Genomic DNA, 21710 nt, shown 5'->3' on the forward strand with positions numbered 1-21710 from the left:
GGGTCTCACCCTTGTCTGTCCCTGGGCATCCACTATGGCTGCACTGGGAAGCCACTGGGTGCAATGGTGTTGCTGTGTGGGACGGGGCCTCAGGCCCACAGGCAGCAAGCATAGACCAGATCCACCCAGCACCCTGACTGTTGAGGATGGGCCCTGGCTGTGTCTCTCTAGCCCAGCTAGCTCCTACTGCATAGTCAGGCTTTGGGAGGCAGGAATCTCTGAATGGATTTCCTTCCTCCTGCCCTGCTTGGATAGGGGCACTTGTGGATGCTTCTGGCTCCAACTTTTGTGTGCAGTGACTATGATGGAGAAGCAATGAGCTCCCTCTACAGCCTTCTGGGCTGCTGGCATCCCCAGTATGTTTCTCCCTGGAGACACTCTCAGTGAGGCCAATTCCAGGCTGCTGGGGGCTTTTCCTTCTGTCACTGTCGGGCCTCCGCAGGGATCTGCCTGGCTGCAAGATGCTGATGGGTGGAGGGGTGGCCCACCTGGCCTCCAGAAGCAGGAGCTCCCTGCCCACTGCCCGCATGGCCCTCAGCCCTGGCCCTCACCTGTTGCCCCTCTGGAAGAACGTTGCTCTTGTTAGCTAACAACCACCTGACTTTCCTCGATCTGTCTCTCCCTGAGGCAAGAATGACCTAGGTCTGAAGACTGAAGACCAGTGCTGGGGCCCCTCTTGGAAGGCCAAGGAAGTGGAGAAGTGCCCAGGTCTGGTCTGCTTAGCCTCCTGCTAGTTGTTGGAGCTCTTTGAGCCTTGGTTTCCAAAGCCATAAACTGGGAGAATGACACCTACCCCAGCAGCACAGAGGGATCTTTGCAATAATGTGCAAACCCACTCAGCATGATGCGTGGCACAAAGCACAAACCCAATAAATGGTGGCTATTATCACTATTATTTTATTTCATAGATTCAAATATTGAGAATGAAATAAATATATCAGAAAGTAGTAGCATCGTGCCATCAGAAAAATACTCTGATGGGGTCCTAGCGATCTTATCCATGAAAATAAAATATCAAAAGAAAGACAAGACGATCTAGAAAGAAGGGATGCCGGCAGTCTTAGAAAAAACAAATAAACAAAAACAAACAAACAACAAAAAACAAAACTGGTGGCAGAGAGTGAGACAACAGGAGCAAATATAGGGCCAGCCAGACAGGCACTGCTTCCTCTCCCTTTGACAGGCAGGACAGCGGCCCGCTCCCAAATCTGCAGGGTCAGACGTGGTAGATGAACAGTGATTTGCCTGAGTGTAAATATTGTGATGTCTTTCTTTTCTTGAACTTTTAACCTTGCTGGTAAACAGGGTGCATCCAGAATTGTTTTTCTGAGAACTGAGTTTTGAGGAAATAGGGGGGAAAAGGGTTTTTATTAGCTAATTTTCAGTCTTGTGCGTGACTCAAAACCTTCTTATTCTGTTTCTTAACTTTGCTTCAGGAGACACTTGGCCAAAAAATAGCTTTGTTTTTAATTGATGAAAGAAAAATCATTACAATGTGTAAGTATGCCAATTCAAACATGGCAAAACTTTCAAAGACAAAGCAGGGGTGGGGAGGTCATTCTGAAGAAGATTTCTGAGACAAGAAAAACAACCAATCCAAATCCCCATTTGTGTTTTCTAATGAGAAACTCCTCACACGCCATTGCCCTGCTGACCCCGGTCTTACCTTGACCACCTCGCCCCATCTTCATCTGTTATAACTTCTGAGATATTGTAATGGAAGTATAGAGTAAGCCTGAGATACACTCTCAGCATTCAAGGTGCTGCCTTCCTTTCTCCAGGCAGGAGGCTGACACAGCCGCCTTTATTTACAAATGCCGTAAATTGACTGCAGGATCCTTTCGTGAGAAAGGAGAATAACGGCAGGGAACCATCCCAGCAAAATGAAGTTCTGGGCTCCACCGCCAGCTTTTCCCTCGAAGGTCATATTTCACCTCTGCCCTGTAATTTCATGAATTGTTCAATGAAGATGTGACTTATTGGCTTCCAAGCTTCATGGAGGTGTTGTCCAAATACAAGGTCCATAAAGTGCTTTGGAAGGCTTGGAGGAACAAAGAAACACTCTTGATCTGAGGTTGTGATGGAGTCTCCTCAACATTGTAGCCGATGATGGCGAGTGCTGGAGGGTTCATCAGACCTGACAGCAACCCCAGCCTTCAAACCACTCTCTCCCCTCACTATTCATACCTGCATTTGTGTCTGTTCAGTTGAATGCTGGCAGACCGTCTTTCAAATAATGCTCCAGTTGGAAAGTAAACTGAGTACATTGAGAATAAATATCTCCAGTCTTCTAAGCTATACGGCAGTGTTGCTGGGACCTGTAAGAAAGTTTCTCTCTGCCATCTTAGAAGAAGGAGGAAGAGGAGAAGGAAGCAGGAAAATGGAACAAATTGCCGTACCTTTGTAAAAGATGAGATTGAAATAAATCACAAAGAGTGTTAAAACAGGCAGCTTGCGGGAAGCCAATTGCTAACATTCTCAGGCCCCATCCTTTCCTCCTCCTCTTCCTTTCAGAATAAATTAAAGAATGGGCCCAAGTCCAAGTTGTGTGTATGGTATCTTTATCTGATTGACCTCGTACTCCTAATAATATCTTATCTTCGCTTGTAAATCATTAGCACCCTTTTCCGTTCTCCCGGCATGTTACTTCTTTAAATGTGATGAACACTCACAGGAGTCCGCTCTGCAGACAGACAAAGCTACTGCAAGGATCCTCTGTCATTCATTTGGCGATTTGGTCCCGAAGGCCTCAGCTGGCTTTACTAGCAAAGTGTTTCACAAATTCCCATAGCCCTGCAAACAGCCACTCCCCCAAAGCAAACAACCTGAGACATCAGGTAAACACTGAAGAATGGAAATTTCATTCATTTTCCTGCCTGCATCCTCTCTAGTTGACAGAGAATGTCAGTCAATGCAAGATTTGTTGAGAGTGGTACATTTGAGGATTTATTTGTAGGCTGTGTTAATATACTTTCGAGAAATTCAGTTGTATCTAATTAATGCTTTTTTCCCTTTGATTCATTCCAAACTATTTAAATTGGAAAATTGTGTGCTATTTGAAGATGCACTTCAAAACTCCTTTTGTTGTCATGGTGCCTGTTGTCACTGCTTTTTGTTGGTTGGTTCTTGTTTCTATAGGGCCCCTCCTCTTTGGGATCGTGTGGGTACAGATGAGACTCACAGTTCCCTAGCCAGATGATCTATAGAAGTTTTTCAAAGACTGCATAGGTAGTGTTACTGAACATAGTTCATATGTGGTGTGTGTTTCTAACCTTGCAAGCTCCTTGCAAAACTACATAAATACTTGTATTTAAGTTGTGCTGTGCATATGAACATACCTTATTATGAGAAAGGTAGATTTTAAAGTATTCCTTCCATGGGTAAATAAGTCTTCCCTGATGATAAATCATTACAGTTGCTTTCACCTCCCAAACTCCTTTAGCTCTCCTCTCCCATTCAGCCCCTGTAGAAAAGGGCTCCCTTTATTTACTGCCCCACTTGTTGCAAGTTGGGGGCTATTTCTTTAAGTCTAACTTAATATTCCTTGTATTTAGTTCAAACTGAAAAATTCTCATGTGTAACCGCCGGGCAGGGCAGAGGGAAGTAGTGTCTACTTTAAATCTGTTGCAGCACATGAACTTAAATGACAAAACAAACACAGAAGACTGAAAAGTCAGAGACCCTCTTAAAGAAAAGCTTACAAAATTATAGTGTCCACTCTAGGCAGGACTTTCATATCCTTTATCTAACTGTCACATGATGGGGTGACATGTTGATCCCCCCACAGCCTGGATGATAGAAATATTTGTGGTTTGATATGCGTCAGCGCTTATGACTTTGGCATAAAATACAATCTCCTTTGTTTCTTCCCCAAATTCAAGAAGTGCATCTTTCCATAATATTGAGAATAGAACCTAACATTTATTGAAAATCTACTAGCATATTTTGTCTTTAAAAAAAAAAAAAAGCACTTCCACATACTCAGCAATGGCCCAGTGAGGCAGATAATAGCTTCATCCCATCTCACAATGGTGAAATAAAGATCAGAGGGAGCCAGTAACTTACCCAAAATGACTCCCTTAGGAGGTGGCAGAGCCCATACTCAAAGTCAGTTTGTTTAACCAAACTGCTTAAAATGTCAACTTAGTTTGCAAAACAGCCCTATGTGGTTGGTGGTATTATCTGCAATTCATCACCAACACACTAGGCCCAGGGCAAAGCTAAAAGCAAAGCTAAAAACAAAGCTAACAGCCAGAGTGACCAGAACTGGGTCTCACCTCTGCTACACCTGTGCCAGGGAGAGGAGATGAACACTCTAAAGTGCTTTCATGCACTTGGGGGCCTTCCTGTCCAAGTGCAGTATAAATGTTCTTTGTGCCACATCTTAAAGGAATCCTCTTACAGAAAGGGCTTCCCATCTGAGTGGCAAGACCCAAGGCTAGGCTGATGCCTCTTCCTTTGCTATGTGAGACCTGAAGGCAAAGTCTGCCTGGACTGACAGAGATGGATGTGGCCTCCATCTGTCTGTGTGTCATGACAGAAAGGAGGTGGGAAAACTTGGAAAATGGGAACCCTCACTTTCCTGAAATTCCCAGCAATCAGTTCCAAGAATTGTAACCTTGAAGCACAGGAAAGCAAGACCCTCAGCCGGGAACATGAAAGCTTTTGTCGGGAATTCTTTGAGGTCCTGATGAGGTGACACAGTGACCAGATGTTCCAGATTCAACATCAAGGCCGGTGGGGGTGGCACTGCACCGGTCACGTCAGGAAGAGCAGTGTAGTCAGAGAGCGTGGCAACCACCATTCGCCTGGTAGACAGCTCATTCCATCTGCCTTGCATATTTTCCGCTGAGCTCAGAATGGAGAAGATCGAATACAGTCTGCTCTTATCACCCTGAAGACTTTTAAAAAGGCTCTGCATACTCACACAAAAATCGGGAACTTGATCACTGTGGCCTGACAATGTGTTTTGAAAAGGCGGGGGTTGGGGGCGGTCAGTCTTTCCCTGAAAGTTCCCATCCATTGTTGAGTAAACATCATAAATCTATCGCAGAGAGACAGGCTGCCTGTACTCAAATTACCGCCTGCTACAATTTTAGCTTCAAGTTTTAATGCCCTAAACATGAATAACGTCGTATCCCAGCACAGGTCTGATTAATGAGGCAACTTTGCCAACTTCAGGGTCGGAGAGTGGCTCCCCACCTCCTTCCTTTTTTCCCCCTGTGGCTTAGTAACCATTTCAGCAAATTTCCTCATTAAATATACAAGGCGACTGAGTGCAATAAAAACTAAAGGATGTGGCAGATAAACACCAGCGTCTCTCTGAGCAGACCTCGCTGCCCAACAGAGCAGGCCAGCTCAGGTTTGCTGGGAGGAATCCAGAATGTTCCATCATGAATTCCAGCATAAAAATCATGCACGCATTGCCCTTTGCCATGGGTCATTTTCAGTCTGTGGGTTACACTTACAGGACCGTCTGCTTTCCGAGCTGTCACATGGTTTATACATGGAATGCCACTCATGCCCTACTTGCACGTAAGGTGACCAATGGCTGGCTGAAGGTCACACTCAGGAGATGACCCAAATTAGCACGTAATGTCCAACCTTGAAAGGAAAGAGGGAAGTTTTATCTTGCCCAGATATTGTCTGTTCCCCAAATAAGATTGTGTGTCGCTTGAGTAATTCCCGAATAGGAGCCCGTTTGTTGAGCACTTAATGCACCCTGGGCACTGAAGAAGAAATGCGGAGGAGTCCCCAGGACTTGCTGAGTCTCCTAGAGACAGCAGAGGTGCTCTGCTCACAGGAGCTCATTTTCTGCCCACAACAACCCTGTGCCATCAGCTACATTATCTCCAGGTTTCTCATACAACCAAAGCTGAGGCTTATAGGGTGGCACAACTTCCCCTGCTCTGGCTCCGAATTCAATATTCCTAAGCCATAAAGCATTTCTCTTTCCTCCCCATCCTGTTCCCATTCCCAGTCTCTCCATGAACACACACACACACACACACACACACACACACCCTTGTCTACACTTGAGCTGTAGTCTGGGCCCGTTACATCAACAACACAACCACGGCAGAACGTGGATTGGTCCAAATTGCAGAGATTTTAAATCTAAATTTCCCATGCTATTGAGACTTTACAGAACCAGTCCTTCAGGTGAGTTTTGATTTTCTGTTTAAGCCAGGGTTCAGCAAACATTTTTTCTAAAGACCAGAGAGTAAACATTTTAGGCTTTGCTGGGCTGCATGGTCTCTATCACAATGGCTCAACTCTGCCATTGTAGCATGAAGCAGCCACCGGTAATACATAGAGGAATGGCAGAAGGTGTGTTTTAATACAACTTTATTTTTAAAAACAGGCAGAGGGCCAGATTTGGCCTACGGGCCATAGTTTGAGACCCCATAGTTTGAGATCTAAGTCATCACTAAAAGTGTTATCAGTAATTGAGGGTTTTAGACATTGCATCTGTCTAACCTATCAGAAGTAAGATTGGGGGCCAGGGCCATTGCAGTGAGGCTGTGGAAGTTCACAGCTGCTTAAGAAGCACTGTGACCAACATCGCTCCTTACCCCAGATGGGCCAGGCCAGCAGTCACAACATGTGCTCCATGGGGAGACAGCAATAGGCATTTCGCTAGAAAAGAATTCTCTGGACTAGTAAGTTTAGAAAACCTTGGGCTATTATTATCGTTATTATTATATTATTCCATGACTGCAGGACTTCTCAGGGCTTTCATAATGCTGATGAACATGAATCTTCCTAGATATTCTGGATCTCTAGGAAGGGAAGGTTTGTGTGCAGAGCATGTCTGCACGATATTCTTTGGGAAGACTGCGCTGGCTCCCGTCCTAGAGATTCTCATGCTGTCTTTTCTTTCTACCTGTTTTCCCAACTGTTCCCACTTGAGAGTACTGGCCTGAGTTGCTGCCAACCTTACAATATCCAGCTCCGTCCTCAGAGCCACACTGCGGTCCCACTGGGGACTTTGGTGGCCCTGCCTCCCTGCAACCCCAGGTACTCAGTTTGGAGGGTGTGGAGAGGGCAGGGTTGAAATGCAGGCTGCTGTGTCTCTTTCCTTCAATTTTATCACCAGCTGCTGACCATGCTTGCTTAAAGGTCTGGTATTTATGGTCTCCTAGAATCTCCCAGAACCTCACAAATACCCCCGGGCTCCTGGTTTGAGGGACTAGATGGGAAGCCCCCCTCCCTGGGAGAACACAGGCCTAGAGCTTCCTGGAACTTAGGCAGCTTGGTCAGAGAGTGTGAGGACTCTGACAGGAGCACGGGTGTGGGACATTCATGCCTGGAAGGCCCTCGACACCTGAGACCTCGGTGTGGAGGCGGGACTTGGAGGAAAGGAGTCCCTGCTATAGTGGAAAAACCAGCCAGGGTAGGTAGTTTTGTATAAGACTCTTAACTCTGTGGAGACTTCTGTTCATTATCTGCAAAATAGAAATGTGTATCCCAGCAGCCTAGGCTTAGATTGTGGAGGACTAGCTGAGGGGTGTGTGAGAAAGTTTTGCAAACATGGCTGGGCACAGAAGGCTGAGCTATTGTCTGGAGGAAAACTCTCAGGGCAATTCAGACCTTTCTGGGCCCTTCTGAGGCAAGAGGCATTGAGGCAAAGTTTGAGATTTGACTTCAGGGACACTGTTCTCTAAGCATATGCTTCAGTCACGAGCGCTGAACCCACTCTCAAAAGCTAAGTAGTAGCAATGAAATGCTTAAAAAGTTCGACCCAGACTGCAAAGACCCACAGAAAATAGAGCACAGTGGCTGGCTTGGGGAGGGACCCTCGGTCCAGACAGCAGCCAAGGAGTTCTTGAGCCTTATTTATCACGTTGTAGTATTTTACAAGGAGGGCTATGCATTATTTCTCTAATTGAACGTTACTTTTAAAAACAGACAAAGAGAATCAGGAAAAATGATGTGAGGACTTTAGGCCCAGATCAGTTTCCGTTTCAACAAGATGTGTCAGGATGATGAAAATGTCGTTTGGTTGAGCCGTGGTCATCACCCCGCATTGTTGTTCTTTCATGTGTTTGTGTGTGTGTGTGTGTGTGTGTGTATGTGTTTCCCTCTGAGTTTCCCAGTAGTCATTACTAAAAAAAAACTCCTAAACTGACTCAAAACAACAATGACAAAAACAAAAGCAAACAAAAAGACCCAATCACCACAGGCGCCATTCAGGCCCTCTTGTCTGACGGTGTTCACAGACTGTGCTTGTGTTTTTGGATGTACCCGCTTCCTTTTCTCTCTTACTCACCAGATATCACTGGGAATCCCTCCTTCTTGCTCCAGGACCCTAAAGGAGACACTGGGGTAAGACTCATGTGGGTCTTGGGGCAGCCCATTTCCAGGAGAGCATGACCCCCACCCCCCAAGCCCCAGGAGGACGGACCCTTCCCAGCTGAGGTCTCCTCTGCATCCGGACCAGGGCCCTGGGCCTGAAGCCAGGTTTTAGTGAAGGCCTTTTGTGGGTGCCTCTCTTGCCCAGGAAACACAAGGTCTTTAAGCTAAGCCTGTTTGTGGGGAGAGCAACCCATTTCTTAGAGGGACTCAATCCATAGGGAGGACACTAGTCCATCAGGGGGCCCTTGTATTTTCATCCTGGAAAGCACAGTCCCCTGTTTCCTTCTGGGACATGAGAAGTTGCTTCTAATGGTTCATCCCCACAACCTCACTTCCCCATCCTTGATTTGCAAATGGGTCCATAGAGAGGTCCCAGGCAGCTACTTGACCCAGGCAGCGAAGGTGAGCGTGGGTCTCCTCACTGCCATGAGCCAGGCAGAAGAGCAAGCAAAACAGCTAAGAACCAGACAGGCCAGAGTTCAGGTTGCAGCTCTGAACCTGACTAAGCTGTGTGACCCAAGGCAACTCACCCAACCTCTCTGAGCCTCAGTTTCCCCACTTAAAGTGGAAACAAGACCAGCCCCTGCCTCATGGAATTGTCATGAGGAAGAGTGAAGTGGTGCTCGTGCAGAGCTGGTGCCCAGGGAAGGGGCTCCGGTGCCAGGCCTGACAGCTCGTCAGGGAAGCCTGCTGCCGGCCATCCCAGGGAGACAGTGCCAGATCAGAGGGAAGCTCAGCAAGCCACTTAAAAGGGACCTTGACTCATTTTGTGGTAACCGAATGTGCAGTTCAGGAAGTGCTTCGCAAAAGCGAACTGGGCTCCAGCCGCCCCCTCGTCCCCCTGCCCTCTGCTCAGGATTCACTGTGCGAGGACCCACCTGACACCACCTGATGCATACCAGCAGCGTGGATGGCAGGCCCCACGTGTTCTCAAGCCCACCAAAGGCTGGTGGGTGTCGGCTCTCGGAAAGACAGCCTGACCTCCTGGACTGAAATTCCACTCCTCTCTTTAGTCGAGGTGCTCAATCTCCCTGAGCCTCTGTTTCCTCCTCTGTAACTGGCACTACCGCATACTAGGGCCGGTGCAAAGCCCTTGGCAACTAGGTATCATTTAATCCCCACAAGCAGCTCTAAAGGCAAGTACGAAACCTTGCCATTTAAGGATGGGGAAGCTGAGGGCACCTTGAGTTATGCAAGGGCACACGCAGGGTGAGTCTTGGAGCTGGAATTTGAACCTGGGGAATGGCACTCCTGGGCCTTCCCTCCTAACTCATAGTATCTACAACCTGGATTGTAGACCTAGCTAGTAGGTCTTGGGGGTTCTTCCCTCCTAACCCCTGGTATCTAGAACCTGGATCGTAAACCTAGCTAGTAGGTCTTGGTGGTTCCTCACATGGATGGAAGAGATGCCAATTTCCATTAACCATGCACACTGCTGCTTGGTGGGCAGGTGAGGAAGTGGTCTGAGTGTGGAGGAAGCCCAGGACAGGACCCTCTTTGCCTCCCCGTGGGATGTCCTGGCTGCCCTGGGAGGATATGTGTGGTGTTCTCTACACCCACCTGAACCTCTAGCTCCCCAGAGCCTCTGACTGCATGTTCTGAGGGCAGTGGCATCGGGAACGCATGGGCGCAGTGTGCAGAGACTGGCCGAGGAGAGCTGTAGGGGTTACCTATTAAGGAGGCAGGTCCCAGCAGGTACTAGGGACTGAAGAGGGTGGAGGGAGACCCGAGGGGGGAAGAGGCTGCCCTCGTCATTAGCCCAGATCCATCCCACCCACTTCTTCCCATCTCCCTGTACTTGCCCCATAGGGATTCCCAAAGAGAGGGAAGTAGAGGGGGAGAGGAGTACATGGACACAGGAGAGCGAGTGAGCACCCCACCCCACAACAGTGTCCTGAGGAAGGCCCCTCTTTTGTCCCCTGCTTCACAAGCCTTGGGAACGGGGAACTCTGCAGGCTGAGCGGCATCCCTGCTGGGAAATGAGGGCCTGTCTTAGTTCCTCATTTAAGGCACCCACCCTCATTCCCAAGGCAGTTAAAAGCCCCAAGTTGCCCAACTCGGTCAGAGGAAGCCTGTCCCATCAGTCTCACACACCCAGAACTTGATTCTCTGGCCTCCGAGACTGGGCAGGGACCAGCTCTGTGTCCCCGAGCCCACATGTAGAGGAGGGAGCCGCGAAGCTGATAGCCCAGGAACATCTATTCCCCACTTGTCATTGTCAAACTCTGATGTCTTCTGGGACTAAATTTGAAGGACAGTTTTTACTGTTGTAACCAAAAAAGCAAAAGGAAGCAAACAATTAACAGGCCCCCTTCTTTTCGGGACTTTTTTCTTTGTCAGTAGAAAGCCATCTCAGTAAACAAGAGCTGTTACGAAATGTACCTCACCCCACACTATGCCTGTAAAGCATCTCCCTTCCCCCCGCTGCACAACCCATTGTACAAGAAATATTGTGATAGATACCTTTGGGTTGAGGCTGGAACAAAATGAGCCATCAGGAAGCATTCCATTTTCAGCTGGACTTGTTTCTGCATCTTTTGGAGGATTTCTGCAAACCCACAGCCCAGTATGGCATTTCCCATACTCTGTGATAAGAACCTCCAGGATAACGTTGGTGGCTCAGGGATCATCTGAGCCTTGAGCAGCTTCCATTCTGATCTGGATGTCTCTGATGTGTGCTTGTTCAAGCAATCGATGAGCCAGTCATGGGCCCCAGACTCATGGGAACTGGGGGAGTGCCCAAGTCAACCCTGCTTGCTTTTACAGCTTTCCTATAAAAGCTTCTCCACTCTTTGCCTGGGCAAGCCCATGCCCAGATCTCCAGCACACACTCCAGCTGCCAGAGGGGGTGGGGGGGCTCCCTCCTGCGTCTGGAACCTATTCAGCCAGCCTGAGATTCAGAAGGGCCTACCTGCTGGAGCTGAGGGTGGGTGAACCCACCCACTTGGGGCTAGCGAAAGATTGCATCTTGTCCCAAGGCTCTGCTGGACCTCGGAGGATTCCCACCATTGTCTTTTTGGGATTTGAGGGAGGTGTTTCAGACTGGGAGACTGGGAGAATGTTTCCCAGCAAAAGGCAGAGGTTGGGGTTCCTGGGATGTGGCTCCCCACAGACCAGGAGGCTGACACAGTTCCTCTCTCTGTCTTCCTGCTTTTCTCATGCAAACAGCACCCCTTTCCCATGGCTGCTCTAACATCCTTGGTAGCTTAACACAAAACACAAATGTATTCTCTCACAGTTCCCAAAGGCCAGAAGCCTGAAATCTGTTTCAATGGGCTAAAGTCAAGGTTTCGGCAGGGCTTTGGGGAGATCAGCTTCCTTGTCTGTTCCGGCTTTTAGACATGGCCAACGTTCCTTGGCTTGTGGACCCCTCCTCCACTTAAAGTCCATCACTCCAGTGTCTGCCCCATCGTCACATGGCTATCCCTTCTTTAACCTTCTTGCCTCCTTCATATAAGGACCCCAGTGGTTACGTTAAGGGCCCACTCAGATAATCCAGGACTACCTCTCTATCTCAAGATCTTCAACTTAATCACATCTGCAAAGTCCCTTTTGCCGTGTAAGGTAACATTCTCAGGTTCCAGGGATTTGTGGATGTCTTTGGGAGCCATTATTCAGACTCAGATAGTTATAGTTAAGACCTATGAGACAGTCTTCTACATCCCTGAGTGATACTTGAAGCAGCCTAGCAACAAAAAAAGCCACAAAACTTTGTCAGGAGAGCTGTTTTTGGGGCCACCCCACATTGACCCTTACCTCTGCAGCCCCTGGTTTCCTCTGGCCCCTGCACTTGTGTGATACCTTGAGAAGGGGTGGATCCACATGCCAGCCTACGCAGGAGCAAGAGGACCAGTGCTGCCTCTCCTTTCTTGGTACATGCCAGCATGGTCTGTGGCTGGGATGCTGCTCTCTGAGACTTGGGAGCTTACTTGTTCACCTCAGCAATGAACTCTGACCACATTTTGCCATTCCTATTCTCAGGCCCCTAGCAATCTCATTCCCAAACTCGATGACCCAGTCTTTTGCATGGCTCAGAGAACTGCCAGAACTGTTAGCACCTAGGCCCTCTGCTGGAGTTCACAGATGCAAATTCTGTTGCTTGCACTCCAAATCTGTGATGCAGGATTGTCTGCTATGTGGAATTAATTCAGGACTTGAGGAATCCTTGTAGTGCCACCTTACAAATGGGTTGGTGCCTTGGAAACCCAGTCCTGGCATCAAGGCCTTGGCATCTGTCAAGCAGAAGTGTGCCTGGGGTGTATTGGGGGGGGGGCAGTGTTGGAGCCGATTTCACCGATTTCTGTCCCTGGCTCTCTATTGTGCAACAACAGGCTCTTCTATTCCTTAAGACGGCAGCATTATTGCCAGGTCCTTCTATTTGCTCATAAAACTCCCATTTACACAGCAGTTTGCAGGACACATCAAATACAAAAATGGATGTGAGGTTTAGTACAGGGAGACCACAGCCATAATGAATCCTGGCAGGGTTTTTATTTTGGTTGCATCTCAGAAGCACTTTGCCAAGCAATGTATATGTGTTGAATGAATGAATGAATAAATGAATGAATGAATGCCGGTGGACTGACATGGCCGTATAGAACTGTAGTCACCCTTCAGAGAGAAGCCTCTGCAATGCACCTGAAAAGCAATGACCATCTACATGTTCTTCCTTTTCTTGTTACTATGTTTTACCCCACCAGGATGCCCACTGACCAGAAACTAAACAAAAAAACTCATGTTCCTGAATTCATCTTTTACTTGAGGGTAAAAGCTTGGGGTAGTGAAGTGAATGTTGGTGCCATATCATGTTCAAGCATTTTGGAATTATATAGCTCTAATTTAGACAACAGCAACAACAAAGAAAAGAGACTCCATCATCAGAATTGATAGGTTAGTAAATTTACAGATCACTCAAAGATGTTAAAACAAAAAAACAAAAAACTTTCTAAACTCTCGGTGTTCTTGGGAAGTAGCCTGCTGTCGTTGGGCTAGAGATACCAAGAAGAGCCAAGGCAGCAGATTGTGGTTGAAATTTAACACGGTGTGGGGGTGGTAGGCTGGCGGCACAGGGGCTGCTGTCAGAGATAACACACAGCCCGGAGAACCAGGGTGTAGATCAGTGCATCAGAGCCCTTTCCAACGGTCAGGAGAGGAGGCAGCTGCCCTGGGGGCAGGGAGGACCTCTGACCCACAAGTCCTGACCTACTGGCAGGAGAACCATTCCTGGTTTGCTTGCTGGGTCTGAGACATTTCTGGAGATGTGGGACTTTCAGTGTTAACACCCAAATAGCCCTGGGGAAACTAGGATGGTTGCTCACCCAAGCTCCAACTTGTCTATAGAATTATCTGGCTTTGAAAGAATGTCACGTGCTTTTATCTTGAATCTAAGGTCACTGGCATGCCCCTCTCATCCACTGGTTATTCTTGATGGTAAGGGGGCGGGGTGGGTAGGGTGAGGGGAGGGTGAAGGGGAGGTTCCTCCTGCCATTCCTTCCTGGAGAAGAGACCAGGGCCTTTCCAGGATTTTGGACTCTGACATGGAAGGAAAACACTTAAAGACCTTCAGGATTTCGTGAGAATAACAAGATTTTATTTTAACCATAAATTGTAATATTTGAGAAAATGCAGACATATTGTTTCTCAGAGCCCATACTAAGTCAGTGTGGAAAACAGCCTTTCTCTGGAGGCAAAATTGCACTGATTAACTTGAATTACAAAGGGAGCATTGCTTACCTTAAGCTAAGACAGCTCAATGAGACCTGCTGTAGCATTTTTATTACATGTGCAATTGTGCACATGTACCCTAGAACTTAAAAGTATTATAATAATAATAATAGGAACCTGAAAATCTAGACGTGGAGTGCTTGCGGTCTCTGGACACTCAGGTCTCTCCTCTTACCTCCTTTCACCTCCTCTCAGAGCCCATCGCTGACATTTAGTTCCTCTAGAAACACAAGCATAGCTCAGCTGCATGTCAGAAGTGCAAAAATATTTAACTTTAATTTTTTTATGTATATGTCTAAACTTGTCTTACACTTAAGGTCCCTGTATTAGTCTGTTTTCACACTGCTAATAAAGACATACCTGAGAATGGGTAATTTATAAAGGATAGGGGTTTATTGGACTCACAGTTCCACATGGCTGGGGAGGCCTCACAATCATGGCAGAAGACGAAGGAAGAGCAAAGGGACTTCTTACATGGCAGCAGGCAAGAGGCATGTACAGGGGAACTCCCCTTCATAAAACCATCAGATCTCATGAGACTTATTCACTACTACAAGAATGCCATGGTGAAAACCTGCCCCCAAGATTCAGTTACCTCCCACTGGGTCCCTCCTATGACACATGGGGATTATCACAATTCAAGGTGAGATTTGGGTGGGGACACAGAACCAAACCATATCAGCCCCTTTCTATTGGTGGCAACAAAATATTTCATTTTACTAACTAAAGATTAGTAATCTCTACTGTATTAAAACTTACGTTCATTAAGGTTCTAAGTTTCTGATGCCACTCAAGGATTCCCCACTCCCCTCCTTTCCCAAAATGCAGCCCAGGTGCCAGGAGAAGTGGGTGTGTGTGCCCTGTGGCATCTGGGGAGAAGGGGCTGGCCTCCCAAGGAAGAAGAGCTTCTCCCTCCTGGTCTTTAGGTGCCACCCTCATGGGGTCCCTGCCTAGGTGTCTATGGCTGGGGTTGCTCATGACCTGTTCTCACCACAGGCACAGCATTAAGGTCCGAGGTGACTTGTATGTGTCCCCAGATTGGCTGAGAAGTAATTCATTGTATGATTATAGCACAGTTTGTTTAGTCATTCACCTGCTGATGGCCATTTGGGCTATTTCCAATTTTGTAGTACAGTAGTCCCCCTCCTATCCACAGGATAGGTTCCAAGACTCCCCAGTAGATGCCTAAAACTGTGGACAGTACTGACCCCTATATACACTGACTGTGGATAGTATTGACACTATCCGTGGATTTGATAACTGAGAGGGCTACTAAGTGACAAATGGGTGGGAAGTGTATATGGCGTGGAGACACTGGAAAGAGGGAGTATCACTGTCCCTGGTGGAATAAAACAGGACATCACGAGATTTCATCATGATACTGAGAAGAAGGCACAATTTAAAACTTATGAATTGTTTACTTCTGGAATTTTCCATTTAATAATTTTGGACCATGATTAACCACAGGTAGCAAAAACCATGGAAAACAAAACTGTGGAAAAGCAGGGACTACTGTATCATGAATAAAGCTGGTAAGAACAAGTACAGGTCATTTTGTGGACAAGTGTTTTTACTTCTCTTTGGAAAGTAGAAGTATTGCTAAACCATACATAAGTGGATGTTTAATGTATAAGTAACTACTAAATAATTTTCCAAAGTGGCGTATGTTCCCACTAACAAAGTATGAGAATTGCTTCATGTCCTCACCAACAGTTTGTGTCTTTAATCTCTATAATTTGAGCTGTTCTAGTACATGGGAAACGGCATTTAGTTCTGGTTTTAATTTGCATTTCCCCAATTACTCATTATGTTGACTACCTTTGCAAGTGCTTATTGACCATTTGCAAAGTGTCTGTTTTAGGCCTTTTATTAGACCTATCTCTAGGCTGTTCCAGGCCTATTTTTATATTTGGCCATGTATTTTTTATTATGGATTTATAGAAATTCTTCATGTATACTTGATATAAGTCCTTTGCCAAATAAATATATTGTGAATATTTTCTCCTAGTCTTTGGCTTATCTCTTTTTCATTTTCTTTCTTTCAAAGAGAAGAATTTCATGAAAATAAATTTATTACTAAAATAAATGTATAATTAATGTATGAGTAGTGTTTTTTGTATCCTAAGAAATCTTTGCCTAACCCAAGGTAGCAGAGATCGTTTATGCTTTCTTCCACAAGTTTTATAGTTTTAGGCTTTTATTTTTAAGTCTATATTGATAAACCTAAAAGTGTGTTACTTAATTTTTGCATGAAAATTTTTAAGATATTATATGGTTGTTGATTTCTAATACCCACTTAGTTAGAGAATACACTTTGCATAACATGACATAGACAACAGGGATAAGCAATGGGCAATTATTTTTTAAAGAAATTAGAGAAAGACAAAGAGAGTAGTCTTTTATGGTTACACACATATTTTACCTATCCATGGTTGTTAACATCTTGGTATCTGCTTTCCATTCTCAATACCCAAGTTTCCATCTGATGTCATTTCTCTTCAACCTGAAGAACTTTCTTTCATATATCCTGGTGATGAATTCTCTCAGCTTCACTTAACTGAAAATGTCTATATTACCTTCATTTTTTGAATGATATATTTTACTGGACATAGAATTTCAGCATTTATTATTTCGTTACCACAAAATTTTGTCATCTCTGACCTCATTGCTTCTGATAAAAAAACCGATATGATTTATATCATTGGCCCCACACAGGTAATGTGCCTCTGGCTGCTCAAGATTTTTCTCTTTCTCTTAATTTTTCAACAGTTTGACTGTGTTGTGCATGTGTGTGTGAGTGTGTGTGTGCCCTCTGTGTGTGTGTGTTCATCTTCTTTGGAGTGTTTTGAGATCCTTGGGTTTATAAGTTAGTGCTTTTCATCAAATATAAGACATTTTCAATTACATTTTCTCTCTATTCCTCTTCTGAAATTATAATTACACATATGTTAAACTATGTGATATTATGCCAGATGTCGCTGATACTCTTTTATTAAAAAATATTTTCTATATGTTCTTAAGATTGGATAGCGTATATTGAGCTCTCTGCCAGTTCACTGACCTTTTCTTCTGTTGCCTCCAATCTAATGTTAGGCTTATCCACTGAAATTTTCATTTCTGAGTTCTAGAAGCTCTATTTGTTTTTGTTTTTTGTTTTACCCCAAGTTGTTGCTATTTTCTTCTCTGATTTTCTATCTGTTCCTTCATTATTAAAATATTTTCCTTTATGTCCTTGAACATATTTATAATAGCTACTCAAAAATTCTTGTCTACTAATTCCAACACCTAGAGTACCTTGGAGTTTGTTGCTATTAACTTTTTTTTTCTTTCGAGTATGAGTCACTTTTTTCTGTTTCTTTGCATGTTTATAAGTTTTTATTATATACTGTGTTTTGTGGATAATAGATTTAGAGATTCTGGATTCTATTGTTTTCCTTTGGCAACATCAATCAGTTAATTATGGAATGTCACCTTAAAGTTGCAGAACCTTGGTTTTATACTCTTTAGGGTAGGCCTATTTAGATTTTTCCTTAGTCTTAGGGAGGATCTTTAATCCTGGGGGCATAGTTATTACTCTTAGGTATGACCCCTTCCTAGGATTTTAGTGAAATGCCCAAGATGTTTCCAAACAGCTCTTTTGGAAAAATTGATAGGATTTAAACTCCAAAATCTGTCTCCCAATCATTGAGCAATGGGCAATTGGTTGAAATCATTATTCAGCTTTAAAAACTTTAGCTCTTTCCAGGATTTATCCCCCTCAATTTCCAGTCACTCTGGCAGCCCCAAACTCTGTCCTCTGACACCTCAAGCAATAAGATCACAGCTTTCTGCCTGGCGGACTAGAGAGAGCCCTTAGATAAAAACAGGGTAAGCATAGGAAGCACGGGTGCAGTTCCTTATTTCAAAGGTCAAACTCCAGTTTCTCTCTGCCAGTGCTTTCAATTTTTAAAAAATATTTTGTTCAGAGTTTATAAATCTTATCTGCAGGAGGATTGGGCCAGTGGAGGATACTCCATCATCATTAAAACTAGAACTTCTTCTATACCCACTTTATGGTTCTTAAAATGTATTCCAAAATTGACCTTCACAAAGATTAGACATTCTCACTGGCAAGAAATGAGAGTCCCTGATATCCTTTCCCCTTGGCAGCCAGAATTTCTTAGACCAAATTGCATAGAATGCCAGAACCTTAGAAAACACCAGACCCAGTACTTCCCAGCTCAAGGCTCCTGAATCCCAAAAGCGTTTATGAGGGTAGCACAGGGTCAAATGGCAGCTTCTATAAATTATAAGCACTATGTATTTTTCCAAGCATAAAATATACAGTTATTCATAACACAAATCTTAAATGTCATTACTTTTGGTTGGAATTACATCATAGTTTTCCTGCAGACATAGGTTTTCTCTTGCTCATCAGAAGCACTGCTTTATAGTTAAGTACATTTTTGGTCAACCTCAAATGGCAAGGTGTATTATTATTATTGATAAGTGACATGTGGCTTTTAGGACATAGGAACCTCAGAAAGAAAGTTTATTAGAAGAATTCTTGGTGGCCCTGGGCACTTTGAATAGTAATGAGTGTTTCTGGTTGATGAATTTAGATTTAATCATTGGATCTATCTTTGTTTATAAGAGCTGCTATAGCTTTAGCTTCATTATTTGCTGAGGCCCCAAGACATGAAAGCACTTGCCTGGAGTGACACAGACTGACACCCCTTGTGGGTTCAGAGATCAGAAACTAAGATCAGACTTTGTTCTGAACACAGCAGCATTTATAACTGTGAAGGACTAATTCTGATACCTACCATGTTTCAGAGACAAAATATAAAAGGGTAAACTTAGAGAAGAGCACTTTAGAGAGGCATCCAGAGAGAATGTTGATGATTGGATGGACATGACCTTTTGAAATGCCTGTGATTTCTGTTCCATTTCTTACCCCGGCAAGAATAAACCAATTGGAATTCAGGTGAATGAATTTTGATTGAGCACAGATTCATCATATCTTGCCAGGTTTGTCCTTTATTTGTCTCCAATGCTGATGCATCTGGATTCACATCAACTCCATCCACTACACTTACAAAGGCAAATGCTTCCCCACCTTCTGTAATCATGGAGGAAATGTATGGTATAGGGCAAGCACATAGGTGGCTTTTTCTTTATAACTCCTGTAATATCCAGGCCAATGTTACATATTCCTTAATATATATTTACTGCAGCAAAATTTAGATTTATTTCACCATATTTTTCCCCAGAAAAGCCAGCATCCCCATTTACAGAAGCAATCACAGAAACATGGAGAAATTCATTACAGTCTTAGTGCCTCAGAAGGACATAAATCAACTTTTAATTACCTCTACCTGGAGATGCTTGGTGCAATGTGCTGTGTGTGTGAGACTGAATGTGTGTGTGTGTGTCGGAGATTGAGTGTGTGAGTGTCTGAGAAGTGTGTGAGGGTGTGAGGTGGGTGTATGTGAGATTGTGTGTGAGAGTTAGCTACGCATCTCCTCTGTCTCCTCAGAGCCATTTCTTTTCTAATTGTGCTCTCAGACAACCAGCCAGCTAAGCAGGGTCTGGCGAGTCTGAGACATTCATGCTGGGGTTTGCATGAAGCTTGTCTCCAGGAATCCAGGACACAGTTTAGATTTGCTCAGACCCGTCTCAGCAGCCTGGAGTTAGGATGACCAGATCCTTTGAAAGGTAAAGAAGCTGCTGCATAGGAAACAGAAATGAGTCAATTTCTGGGAAGTTGCTAGAGTTTGAATATTTGTCCCCTCCAAAACATGTGTTGAAATTTAATTCTCGGTATGTCAGTATTGAGAGACAGTGCCTTTAACAGGTAACTGAGTCATGAAGGTTCTTCCCTTATGAATCACAGGGTTATCATAGGAGTGGGACTGATGTCTTCATAAAAAAGGAAGCGAGACCTGAGCTAGCAGGTGAGCATGCTCAGCCCCCTTGCCATTTGATGCTCTGTGCTGCCTCAGGACTCTATAGAGAGTCCCCACCAGCAAGACAGCCCCACTAGATGTGGCCCCTCCACCTTGGATTTCTTGGCCTCCAGAAGAAAATAATAAATGCCTGGTTTCGAGTGCTCTGTTATATGCCACAGAAAAAGACAGGAGTGGAGAGGCTTATAACCCCCAGGATGGCCACAGGCTTATATCCCTTTTATCCTCAGGGGTGAACCCTTGCCTACCTGTTTTTCCATCCAGCCAGGCCAGCACTGTAGCAGAGGGAAAACCCAAGGGCCCCATATCCTGGCAATGCAGCCAGGACTAGTGTCCAAAAATATACTGGGAATGGTGCTGTGACTACATGCTGTGAATGGAAACAGCCTGACTGCAGAGGGAGGAGTCAGGAGGGGCTTCCCAGAGGACAGGGTGGGGTGGGGTTCACCCCTAGTGCAGCCTCAGCAGGAGAATGGGGGGTTGTTCTCTCTCCACTGTGAACCTGGTGTTCTTCCCTTCTCTGGGGTCTGGCTCTTCTACTGAGAGAACAAGGTGGGCAACAGAAGTCACCAAAACCTCCTCCAGTTGTGCAATGCTAACCTTGAGAGCAGGGCCAGGCTGAGACAAACACAGAACCCAGCTTCTTGCAGATAAGATGTGAAAAGAGTCTGTTACTCATTCCAGGTCCTGTGGCACTTTTAGCAGAGATGGATGTTTCCAGCTGGGGCTTGCCTTAGTTTACTAGAGACACTGTAACAAAACACCTTAGACTGGGTAATTTGTAGGTAATAGACATTTATTTCTCAGTTTTGGAGGCTGGAAGTCCAAGATCAAGGCGCAGGCAGATTTGGCGTCTGGTGAGGGCCCACTCTGTACTTCATAGATGGTGCCCCTTGCTGTGTCCTCACAAGGTGGAAGGGGCAAGCAAGCTCTGCTGCAGCTGTTTTATAAGGGCACTAATCCCATCTAGGAGGCCTCCACCCTCATGACTTAATCATCTCCTAAAGGCCCACCTCTTAATACTATTACACTGGTAGTTGTCTCAACATATACATTTCAAGGGGACACATTCAGGCCTTGCAGGGCTTTAGATCCCACCACTTCATCTTATCCTCTTTCTTGTCCCTTCTCCCTTCTCCTGAAGCTTGAACTGAAAGATGCTTGATTTTGGCCTCTACTTTGTCCTCATTGCCATTTGTGACAAATGAAGAAATTCTATGTATGGTGAGGACAGCACCATGGAGCCCCTTAGACTTTAGACTTGTCCATTTGGCTCTGTGGATATGGGTTGTATTTTCTCTACTTTTCTTTGAGCTCTCCAAATAAAAACAGTTGATAATCTGAATACATTGACCATGTATTCTAGAGGTATACAGAAACATGTGTGGACTCTGAAGCCAAACTTTCTGGTTTAGTCCTAACTTCAACACATATTAGAAGTATGACTTGGGCATAAATTATCTGGGTCTCAGTTTTCTCGTCTGTTAAAAAAGACAGTGATACAGCCAGGTGCGGTGGCTCACGCCTGTAATCCCAGCACTTTGGGAGGCTGAGGAGGGCAGATCACTTGAGGTCAGGAGTTTGAGACCAGCCTGGCCAACATGGCAAAACCCCGTCTCTACTAAAAATACAAAAATTAGCCCGGCGTGGTGGCTGGTGCCTGTAATCCCAGATACTCTG

General features: G+C 45.2%; 2 long non-coding RNA genes across 2 annotated transcripts in view; one reads left to right on the forward strand and one right to left on the reverse strand.

The window, feature by feature from the left end:
• NCAL1 (NK cell activity associated lncRNA 1) overlaps positions 1-21710 on the forward strand; it is a 282375-nt gene that overhangs the window by 73881 nt on the left and 186784 nt on the right. The window lies entirely within an intron of this gene.
• On the reverse strand, positions 877-21529 carry LOC107985909 (uncharacterized). The gene is made up of 2 exons (XR_001739579.3): positions 10822-21529; positions 877-8311 (listed from the first exon to the last, which is right to left on the reverse strand). It is a non-coding gene; the product is annotated as an uncharacterized LOC107985909 (long non-coding RNA).

This window comes from Homo sapiens, chromosome 2 (assembly GCF_000001405.40).
Source record: "Homo sapiens chromosome 2, GRCh38.p14 Primary Assembly".
Lineage (NCBI taxonomy): Eukaryota > Metazoa > Chordata > Mammalia > Primates > Hominidae > Homo > Homo sapiens.